Raw genomic sequence first — 12,407 nt, 5'->3', positions numbered from 1 at the left:
TGCAGAAGCAAGTAATCCAGAAGATCTGAGATCCTTAATGAAAGTGGCTACACTAAACAAACTTTTCAATGTAGATGAAACAGCCTTCTTTTGGGAGACAATGCCATCTTAGACATCCATAGCTAGAGAAGTAAATGCCTGGCTTCAAAGCCTCAAAGGACAGGCTGGCTCTTGTTAGGGCTAATGCAGCTGGTGACTTTAAGTTAAAGCCAACCCTAATTTAGCATTCCTAAAATACTAGGGTCCTTAAGAATTATGCTAAATCTACTTTGTCTGTGCTCTGTCAATGGAACAACAAAGCCCAGATGACAGCACATCTGTTTACAGCATAGTTTACTGAATACTTTAAGGCCACTGTTGAGACCTACTGTCCCCCAAAAAAGATTCCTCTCAACATATTACTGCTCATTGACAATGCACCTGGTTACTCAAGAGCTCTGGTGGAGATGTACAAGGAAATGAATGTTGTTTTCATGCCTGCTAACACAGCATCCATTCTGCAGGCCCCAGATCAAGGAGTAATTCTGACTTTCAAATTATTTAAGATATACATTTCATCAGGTTATAGCTGCTATTAGATAGTAATTCCTCTGATGGATCTGGGCAAAGTAAATTGAAAACCTTCTGGAAATGATTCACCAGTTTAGATATCATCAAGAACATTTGTGATTCATGGGAGGAGGTTGAAATATACACATTAGTAGGAGTTTGGAAGAAATTGATTCCAACCCTCATGGATGACTTTGAGGGGTTCAAGACTTCAGTGGAGGAATCACTGAAAACGTGGTGAAAATAACAATAGAGCTCGAATTAGAAGTGGAGCCTTGATGATGTAACTGAATTGCTGCACTCTCATGATCAAACTGGAATGAATGAGAGTTGCTTCTTACAACTGAACAATGTGTTTTGTTTGTTTGTTTGTTTTTGAACAATGGAATCTGCTTCTGGTGAAGATGCCATGAACATTGTTGAAATAACAAGCAAGGATTTAGAATATTCCATAAACATAGTTGATAAAACAGTGGCAGTGTTTGAGAAGACTTACTCCAATTTTTGAGAGATGTTGTCTTGTGGGTAAAATGCCATCAACCAGCATCACATGCTATACAGAGGGCTCTCTCATGAAAGGAAGAGTCAATAAGTGCAACAAACTTCATTGTTGTCTTATTTTCAGAAATTGCCACAGCCATCCCAGCCTTCAGCAACCACCAACATTGAGACAGGAAATGATTTGCAGCAAAAAGATTATGACTCATTGAAGGGTCAGATAATCATTAGCATTTTTTGGCAACAAAGTACTTTTAAATTAAGGTATGGACATTTAGGGGTTTTTTATTTTTAGGTATAATGCTATTAACAGTCTAGAGTATAGTATAAGCTGTTATTTCAGTAGAAAAACAAAAAATCTGTGTGACTTGCTTCACTGAGCTATTTGCTTTATTGCAGTGGTCTGGAACCAAACCCATATCGCTGAGATATGCTTGCATAGGGGGTGTGGTAAAGACCAAAGTTTATTGTTTTTAACATAGCTATCTAACTGTTCTAACACCATTTGTTTAAAACATCCTTTTTTTACATTGAATTATCTTAACAACTTTGGCAAAAATCAAGTGACCACCTATACATAAATCTATTTCTGAATTTTTCTGTTTCATCAATCTGTTTCTATTTTTATACCAATAACACATTGTCTTGATTGCTGTAGCTGTATAAGGCTTGAAATCAGGTAGATTAATTTTTCCGACTTTGTTCTTTTTCAAAATTCCTTCATTCTATGTCTTTTTCATTTCTGTATAAATTTTAGAATGTAGCCTGTTCCTTTCTACCAAAAAAATCCTGTTGAGATTGTATTGAATCTACTGGGGAATCTGGAGGAGAATTGATATATTAAGTCTTCCAATTCATGAACATGGTATATGTCTCCATTTATTTAGCTCTTTAATTTCGTTCAGCAATGTGTTTTAGTTTTCAGTGTATAGTTCTTACAAAATTTTCCCTAAGCATTTCATATTTTTGATATTTTAAATATTTCAATTTCTAAATATTTCTAGATATAGGAATATAATGATTTCTGTATACTGATCTGTATTCTAGAGGCTTGCTGACCTTATTTAGATTTCATAGATTTTCTACATAGACAATCATGTTGTCTGTGAATAATGACTTCTTCCTTTTCAGTCTGTATGCCTTTTGTTTATTACTGGCTGAAACCTTCAGTGAAATGTCAAATAGAGGTAGTAAGAGCAGAAATACTTGACTTGTTCATGATCTTAGGAAGAAAGCATTTAGCCTTTCACCATTAAATATGATGTTAGCTGTAGGTTTTTTATTGTAGGTCGTCTTTATTAGATTTAGGACTTTGCCTTTTATTCCTATTTGTGAGGGTTTTTTTTTTCCTAAATTGGAAATGGATATTAAATTTTTCAAGTGCTTTTTCTCCATGTATTGACTATGTGGCTGATTTGATTTTTTGGGCCTATTAATTGATGCATTATTATCAACTTTTGAATCTAAAAATCACCTTATTCCTGGGATAAAGCCTACTTAGTGATGAAATATTACCATGTTTATGTATTGTTGGATTTGCTAAAACTTAATTTTTGCATCTATATTCATGAGGGATGTTGGTCTCTCTCTATATTTTGCCTTGTATAATGAGGAAGCATTCCACCTCTTTATCTTCAATTATCTGGACAAGTTTGCATAAAATTGGTATTACTTCTTCTTAAAGTTTGAAAGAATTTGCCAGTAAAGCTATCTGGGCCTGGTGTATTTTCTTTTTAAGAAGTTTTAACTACAAATTCAATTTTATAGATATAGAAAAATTCAATTTATATATTTCTTTTTGGTTGAGCTTGTACCTTTCAAATAATTCATCTATTTCATTAATCTAATGTATTGATATAGTTCATATTTTATTAATATCTGTAGAATATGTAGTGATATCACCTCATTCTGATATTGGCAAATTATCTTTTTTCCTGATAATCTGGCTAGAAGTTTTATTGATATTTTCAAAGAACCAGCTTTTGGTTTCATTGATTTTTTTTCTGTTTTTGTTTTATATTTCACTGGCTAGATCTTTATTGTTTCCTTTATTCTTCCTACACTGTGTTTTTGTTCGTGTTCTGTTTTCATTAAGGTGGAAGCTGATGCCATTAATTTGAGATCTTTTTGTTAAACAGGCATTTAGAGCTATAAATTTATCTTAGGTGTCACATTAGCTGCATTTTTTTTTTAATAGACAGGGCCTCAGTCACCCAGGCTGCAGTGCAGTGGTGTGATCATGGCTTACTGCAGCCTTGAATTCCTGGGCTCAGACGATCCTCCTGCTTCAGCCTCCCAAGTAGCTGGGACTACACGTATGAGCTACCACACTTGGCTAATTTTTTATTTTTAAATTTTTTGTAGAGATGGGGGTCACACTATGTTGCTCTGGCTTGTCTCAAACTCCTGGGTTCAAGTGAGCCTCCCACCTCAGCCTCCCAAAATGCTGGGATTACAGGTGTGAACCACCATGCCAGGCCCACAAAATTTGATACATTGTGTTTTCCCTTTAGATTTCTTTTGTGATTATGTGTTATTTAGAAGTGTGTTATTTAGTTTCCAAATATTCTGGGAATATTTCCTATACCTTATACCTTTCTAACTTCTAATTTAATTACATCATAACCAGAAAACATGACTAGAATACTTTTAAATTTATTTAGACATTTTTTCTTTCAGTACTTTGAAGGTATTTCACCACCCCCCCTTTTTTTTTATTTATTTTTTATTTTTTGGAGACAGTCTTACTCTGTTGCCCAGGCTGGAGTGCAGTGGCACAATCTCAGCCTCCCAGGTTCAAATGATTCTTGTGCCTCAGTCTCCCTAGTAGCTGGGATTACAGGTGCACACCATGATGCCCAGCTACTTTTTGTATTTTTAGTAGAGACAGGGTTTTTCCATGTTGGCCAGACTGGTCTCAAACTCCTGGCTTCAAGTAATCTGCCTGCCCCAGCCTCCCAAAGTGCTGGGATTATAGGCATGAGCCACCGGGGGTGCCCTGCCCACTATGGTTCTTCCTTGTTCCATTGAATGTTTGTATTCTTTTTTCTCTGGGTGCTTTTAAGATATTCTCTTATTACTTTTAAGTAATTTGATGTTCATATTGCCTTGATGGCATTTTATTCATTTTTCTTATTCCTGAAGTTTGATGATCATCTTGGATCTGAGGATTTGGAGTTTTCATCTAACATGGAAAAAATATTAGCCATTGTCTTATCAAAAATGTTTTTCTCTCCACTATCTTTCTTGGCTTTCAGGAATTCGATTACACATGTATTAGGCCACTTGAAGTTGTCTCAAAGCTTATTTTTTTTCTATTTCTTTTTGGATAGCTTTATTTCTATATCTTCAAGTTTACTGTTTTTTCCTGCTATATTCAATGGCTATATTATAGCCATTCATCCAACCTAGTCTATTTTTATATCAAACTTTGTAGTTTTCTTCTATAAATTAACTTGGGTTTTTAAAATGTTCTGTATCTATCTACACTTCTCAGTCTTGTAGCTTCTTGAACATATAGAATATAATTATAACTGTTTTCATGTCTTTTCCCACTATTTATGTAATATGTATAATTTCTGGGTAGGCGTCAATTGATCTTTTCTCTCATAGGTCATATTTTTCTCTTTTACTGAATGTCTGGCAATTTTTTATTAAATGCCAGACATTTAGATGCTGAATATTTTGTATTCCCATAAATATTCTTGAACTTTATTGTGAAATACAGTTAGATCATTTGGAAAAAGTTTGATGCTTTCATGTGTTGCTTTTAAATTTTCTTAGATAGGGCCAGGGCAGCATTTATTCTAGGGCTAATGTTTTCAAACTTGTGAGGTGAAGCCTTCTATGTATTCTACCTGGTAGCACATGAATTATGAGATTTTTAGCTCTAGGGACCAGGAATGATTCCTGGCTCTTTGTGAGCGCTGTGTTCTCTAATCTTTTTAGGTGGTTCTTTCCCCAGCCTTGAGTAGTTCCTTCATATAAATACACTGATCAGTACTCAGCTAAAGCCTTAAGAGACCCCTCTATAAATCTCTTTAGTGTGCATTCTCTTTGCAGCTCTCTCTGGGACTCTGCTCTGTAAACTCTAGTTTCTTAACTTTGCCTTACTCCTGTGCTCCATCACCTCAACTCAGGGACATCACTGGGCTCTGTCTGAGCTCCTGCTCCCTGCAACTGATACCTGGATATTTGCTTTGGGTGGTAAGCTGAGGCAATTATAAAATTTACCTCATTTGCTTTCCTTCTTTCAGAAATCACTGTCCATTGCCTAATATATAAATCTTTAAACCCATGGTTTCACATATTTTTTGTTCTTTTAGTTGTTTTTGGTGGAATGGTAACTCTGGTCCCTGTTACTATATCTTATCTAGGTGGGCCATAATAATTTTTAAATATGCATATTTAAATCTTCCCAAATTTGGGAAAATTTCTTGGCAGATATGAATAGGGAGGGCATAAGTGTGAATTGTAGCAAAATCAAATTTTTGTTTAGAAATTTGAAGTTTAGTGTTTTTGTACTCTCAATTTTCTATTTTAAAAAAGGTGGTAAATGCCCTGAAAACCAGGTATAATATCATGCATACCCTTATTTCTGGACTCAGAGGGATTTTGAGGCCTATAAATGTTATGACTTACCCAATTACATAGCTAACAAGCAGCAGATTTGAAACCCAGAATCAGGTCTACAGAAGCTCAGTCCCAGGTACTCTCCAATCTTCTGACACATACAGTCGATCCCCATTATTTGCAGATTGTGTTTATAAAATAATCTACATGATAAAATTTGTAACCCAAAAGTCAGTACTTACAGGAGCTTTCGCTTTTGCTTTCATGGACACTGGCAGGGTGGTGAAAAATACTGGACACACATATTCCCAGCTCTCACATTGTTAAGTTAGTTAGGTTTTTTTTTACTTTTTGCAGTTTATGTAGTGCGCTGTTTTTCACGTTTCTGTGCTTTTCATTGGTGATTTCATTGTTTAAAATGGCTCTGAACTGGGTGGGGTGTCGCCTCACCTAGGAAGCACAAGGGTGAGGTGATTTCCCTTTCCTAGTCAAGGGAAGCCATGACAGACTGTACCTGGAAAAACAGGACACTCCCACCCAAATACTGCACTTTTTCCAAGATCTTAGCAACTGGCAGAGAAGGAGATTCTCTCCCGTGCCTGGCTTGGCAGGTCCCGTGCCCACAGAGCCTTGTTCACTGTTAGCACAGCAGTCTGAGATCAAATTGCAAGGTGGCAGCCTGGCTAGGAGAGGGGCATCCACCATTGCTGAGGCTTCAGTAGGTAAAGCGGCTGGGAAGCTCAAATGGGGTGGAGGCTACAGCAGCTCAACAAGGCCTACTGCCTCTATAGACTCCATTTCTATGGACAGGGCATAGCTGAACAAAAGGTAGCAGATAACTTCTGCAGACTTAAACATCCCTGTCTGACAGCTCTGGAGAGAGCAGCGGTTCTCCCAGCATGACATTTCACCTCTGAGAACAGACACACTGCCTCCTCAAGTGGGTCCCAAACCCCCATGTAGCCTAATTGGGAGACACCTCCCAGTAGGGGCTGACTGATACTTCATATAGGTGGGTAGCACTCTGGGACAAAGCTCCCAGAGGAAGGATCAGGCAGCAATATTTGCTGTTCTGCAATATTTGCTGTTCTGCAGCCTCCACTGGTGATACCCAGGCAAACAGGGTCTGGAGTGGACCTCCAGCAAACTCCAACAGACCTGCAGCTGAGGGACCTGTTAGAAGGAAAACTAACAAACAGAAAGGAATAGCATCAACATCAGCAAAAAGGACATCTACACCAAAACCCCAACTGTAGGTCACCAACATCAAAGACCAAAGGTGGAGAGAAACCAGAGCAGAAAAGCTGAAAATTCTAAAAACCAGAATGCCTCTTCTCCTCCAAAGGATTGCAGCTCCTTGCCAGCAACGGAACAAAGCTGGATGGAGAATGACTTTGACGAGTTGACAGAAGCAGGCTTCAGAAGGTTGGTAATAACAAACTTCTCTGAGCTAAAGGAGCACATTTGAACCCAACGCAAGGAAGCTAAAAACCTTGAAAAAGGGTTAGATGAATGGCTAACTAGAATAAACAGTGTAGAGAAGACCTTAAATGACCTGATAGAGCTGAAAACCATGGCAGGAGAACTTCGTGATGCATGCACAAGCTTCAGTAGCTGATTCAATCAAGTGGAAGAAAGTGTATCAGTGATTGAAGATCAAATTAATGAAATAAAGCAAGGAGAAAAAAAGAGTAAAAAGAAACAAAGCCTCCAAGAAATATGGGACTATGTGAAAAGACCAAATCTATGTCTAATTGGTGTACCTGAAAGTGACGGGGAGAATGAAACCAAGTTGGAAAACACTCTTCAGGATATTATCCAGGAGAACTTCCCCAATCTAGCAAGGCAGGCCAACATTCAAATTCAGGAAATACAGAGACCACCACAAAGATACTCCTCGAGAAGAGCAACCCCAAGACACATAATTGTCAGATTCACCAAGGTTGAAATGAAGGGAAAAATGTTAAGGGCAGCCAGAGAGAAAGGTCGGGTTACCCACAAAGGGAAGCCCATCAGACTAACAGTGGATCTCTCTACAGAAACCCTACAAGCCAGAAGAGAGTGGGGGCCAATATTCAACGTTCTTAAAGAAAAGAATTTACAACCCAGAATTTCATATCCAGCCAAACTAAGCTTCATAAGTGAAGGAGAAATAAAATCCTTTACAGACAAGCAAATGCTGAGAGATTTTGTCACCACCAGGCCTGCCTTACAAGAGCTCTTGAAGGAAGCACTAAACATGGAAAGGAACAACCAGTACCAGCCACTGCAAAAACATGCCAAATTGTAAAGACCATCGATGCTAGGAAGAAACTATATCAATTAACAGGCAAAATAACCAGCTAACATCATAATGACAGGATCAAATTCACACATAACAATATTAACCTTAAATGTAAATGGGCTAAATGCCCCAATTAAAAGACACAGACTGGCAAATTGGATAAAGAGTCAAGACCCATCAGTGTGCTGTTGGGAGACCCATCTCACGTGCAGAGAAACACATAGACTCAAAATAAAAGGATGGAGGAAGATCTACCAAGCAAATGGAAAGCAAAAAAAGCAGGGATCGCAATCCTAGTCTCTGATAAAACAGACTTTAAACCAACAAAGATGAAAAGAGACAAAGGAGGCCATTACATAATGGTAAAGGGATCAATTCAACAAGAAGAGCTAACTATCCTAAATATATATGCACCTAATACAGGAGCACCCAGATTCATAAAGCAAGTCCTTAGAGACCTACAAAGACTTAGACTCCCACACAATAATCATGGGAGACTTTAACACCCCACTGTCAATATTAGACATATCAATGAGACAGAAGGTTAACAAGGATATCCAGGACTTGAACTCAGCTCTGCACCAATCAGACCTAATAGACATCTACAGAACTCTCCACCCCAAATCAACAGAATATACATTCTTCTCAGTGCCACATAGCACTTATGCCAAAATTGACCATATAATTGGAAGTTAAGCACTCCTCAGCAAATGTAAAAGAACAGAAATCACAACAAACTGTCTCTCAGACCACAGTGCAATCAAATTAGAACTCAGGACAAAAACTCACTCAAAACCACACAACTACATGGAAACTGAACAAGCTGCTCCTGAATGACTACTGGATAAATAACGAAATGAAGGCAGAAAATAAAGATGTTTTTTGAAACCAATGAGAACAAACACACAACGTACCAGAATCTCTGGGACACATTTAAAGCAGTGTGTAGAGGGAAATTTATAGCATTAAATGCCCACATGAGAAAGCAGGAAAGATCTAAAATTGACACCCTAACATCACAATGAAAAGAACTAGAGAAGAAAGAGCAAACACATTCAAAAGCTAGCAGAAGGCAGGAAATAACTAAGATCAGAACAGAACTGAAGGAGATGATAGAGACACAAAAAACCCCTCAAAAAAACAATGAATCCAGGAGCTGGTTTTTTGAAAAGATCAACAAAATTGATAGACTGCTAGCAAGACTAATAAAGAAGAAAAGAGAGAAGAATCAAATAGACGCAATAAAAAAATGATAAAGGGAATATCACCACTGGTCCCACAGAAATACAAACTACAATCAGAGAATACTATAAACACCTCTACACAAATAAACTAGAAAATCTAGAAGAAATGGATAAATTCCTGGACACATACACCCTTCCCAAGACTGAACCAGGAAGAAGTTGAATCTCTGAATAGACCAATAACAGGCTCTGAAATTGAGGCAATAATTAATAGCCTACCAACAAAAAAAAGTCCAGGATCAGATGGATTCACAGCTGAATTCTACCAGAGGTACAAGAAGAGCTGGTATCATTCCTTCTGAAACTATTTCAATCAATAGAAAAAGAGGGAATCCTCCCTAACTCATTTTATGAGGCCAGCTTCATCCTGATGCCAAAGTCTGGCAGAGACACAACAAAAACAGAGAATTTTAGACCAGTATCCTTGATGAACATCGATGTGAAAATCCTCAGTAAAATACTGGCAAACTGAATCCAGCAGCACATCAAAAAGCTTATCCAACACAATCAAGTTGGCTTCATCCCTGGGATGCAAGGCTGGTTCAACATACACAAATCAATAAACATAATCCATCACATAAGAAAAACCAATGACAAAAATCACATGATTATCTCAATAGATGCAGAAAAGGCCTTTGACAAAATTCAGCCCTTCATGCTAAAAACTCTCAATAAAGTAGGTATTGATGGAACATATCTCAAAATAATAAGAGCTATTTATGATAAACCCACAGCCAATATCATATTGAATGGGTAAAAACTGGAAGTCTTCTCTTTGAAAACCGGCAGAAGACAAGGATGCCCTCTCTCACCACTCCTATTCAACACAGTGTTGGAAGTTCTGGCCAGGGCAATCAGGCAAGAGAAAGAAATAAAGGGTATTCAATTAGGAAAAGAGGAAGTCAAATTGTCCCTGTTTGCACATGACATGATTGTATATTTAGAAAACCCTATTGTCTCAGCCCAAAATCTCCTTAAGCTGATAAGCAACTTCAGCAAAATCTCAGGGTACAAAATCAATGTGCAAAAATTACAAGCGTTCCTATACACCAAAACAAAGAGAGCCAAAACATGAGTGAAGTCCCATTCACAATTGCTGCAAAGAGAATAAAATACCTAGGAATCCAACTTACAAGGGATGTGAAGGACCTCTTCAAGGAGAACTATAAACCACTGCTCAACGAAGTAACGGAGGACACAAACAAATGGAAGAACATTCCATGCTCGTGGACAGGAAGAATCAATGTCGTGAAAATGGCCATACTGCCCAAGGTAATTCATAGATTCAATGCCATCCCCTTCAAGCTACCAATGACCTTCTTCACAGAATTAGAAAAAACTGTAAAGTTCATATGGAACCAAAAAAGAGCCCGCATTGCCAAGACAATCCTAAGCAAAAAGAACAATGCTGGAGGTGTCACACTACCTGACTTCAAACTATACTACAAGGCTACAGTAACCAAAACAGCATGGTACTGGTACCAAAACAGATATATAGACCAATGGAACAGAACAGAGACCTCAGAAATAACACCACACATGTACAATCATGTGATCTTTGACAAACCGGAGAAAAACAAGCAATGGGGAAAGGATTCCCTATTTAATAAATGGTGCTGGGAAAACTGGCTAGGCATATGTAGAAAGCTGAAACTGGATCCATTCCTTACACCTTACACAAAAATTAATTCAAGATGGATTAAAGACTTAAATGTTAGACCTAAAACCATAAAATCCCTAGAAGAAAACCGAGGCAATACCATTCAGAAGACAGGCGTGGGCAAGGACTTCATGACTAAAACACCAAAAGCAATGGCAACAAAAGACAAACTTGACAAATGGGATCTAATTAAACTAAAGAGCTTCTGCACAGCAAAAGAAACTACCATCAGAGTGAACAGGCAACATACAGAATGGAAGAACATTTCTGCAATCTACCCATCTGACAAAGGGCTAATATCCAGAATCTACAAAGAACTCAAACAAATTTACAAGAAAAAAACGACCCCATCAAAAAGTGGGCAACAGATATGAACAGACACTTCTCAAAAGACATTTATGCAGCTAACAGACACATCAACATGATCATCACTGGTCATCAGAGAAATGCAAATCAAAACCACAATGAGATACCATCTCACACCAGTTAGAAGGGTGATCATTAAAAAGTCAGGAAACAACAGTTGCAGGAGAGGATGTGGAGAAATAGGAACACTTTTACACTGTTGGTGGGAGTGTAAATTAGTTCAACCATTGTGGAAGACAGTGTGGTGATTCCTCAAGGATACAGAACCTGAAAGACCATTTGACCCAGCAATTCCATTACTGGGTATATACCCAAAGGATTATAAACCATGCTACTATAAAGACACGTGCACACGTATGTTTATTGTGGCACTATTCACAAGAGCAAAGACTTGGAACCAACCAAAATGTCCATCAATGATAGACTGGATTAAGAAAATGTGGCACATATACACCATGGAATATTATGCAGCCATAAAAAAGGATGAGTCCATGTCCTTTGCAGGGACATGGATGAAGCTGGAAACCATCATTCTCAGCAAACTATCACAAGGACATAACACCAAACACTGCATGTTCTCACTCATAGGTGGGAATTGAACAATGAGAACACTTGGTCACAGGGCGGGGAACATCACACACCAGAGCCTGTCAGGGGGTGGGGGTCTGGGGGAGGATAGCATTAGGAGAAATACCTAATGTAAATGACGAGTTGATGAGTACAGCAAATCAACATGACACATGTATACCTACGTATCAAACCTGCACATTAAGTTCTAGGGTACATGTGCACAAAGTATTAAAAAAAACCACACAGGGTCAAACCTAAAAGATGACCCATGATAAAAAAAAAAATGGCTTTGAACTATAGTGCTGAAGTGCTATCTAGAATTCCTAAGCACAGGAAGGCTGTGATGTGTGCCTTACAGGGAAAAATTGTGGTTTGGGACACAAATTAAAAGTAATGTCCAAAACTGCAATTATTTTCCACCAACCTAAATATGTGTGTTTGATAAGCTTTGTTCAGGAAGTTCTAGTGCTGTTAGATGTGAGTTAAATGTTAGAATGAACAATATATGTTAAATAAGATATCTTTGAACAGCAACACACAAAAAGCAAGGTTATGTATTGATCAGTTGGGGAAAATATGACTAGAAGCTCACAGAAACCTAACCCTGTCTTTCCTCTAGGAGCAATGGTTCAGCATTCATTAATTCAGTGTTTGGGGCAACTTT

The 12,407-nt window shown here is 37.9% G+C and overlaps 1 protein-coding gene across 14 annotated transcripts in view; it reads left to right on the top strand.

The window, feature by feature from the left end:
• CDH17 (cadherin 17) overlaps positions 1–12,407 on the top strand; it is a 90,117-nt gene that overhangs the window by 73,612 nt on the left and 4,098 nt on the right. The window contains exon 16 of one of the 14 annotated variants that reach the window (NR_182224.1): positions 1,175–1,311. The exons of the other annotated variants lie outside the window; for them this stretch is intronic. The gene's annotated coding sequence lies outside the window, so the exon portion shown is untranslated. The remainder of the gene's footprint in view (positions 1–1,174; positions 1,312–12,407) is intronic. 14 annotated transcript variants of the gene reach the window in all.

Source organism: Homo sapiens, chromosome 8, assembly GCF_000001405.40.
Source record: "Homo sapiens chromosome 8, GRCh38.p14 Primary Assembly".
NCBI lineage: Eukaryota > Metazoa > Chordata > Mammalia > Primates > Hominidae > Homo > Homo sapiens.
This window is presented reverse-complemented; position numbering and strand designations above follow the sequence as displayed.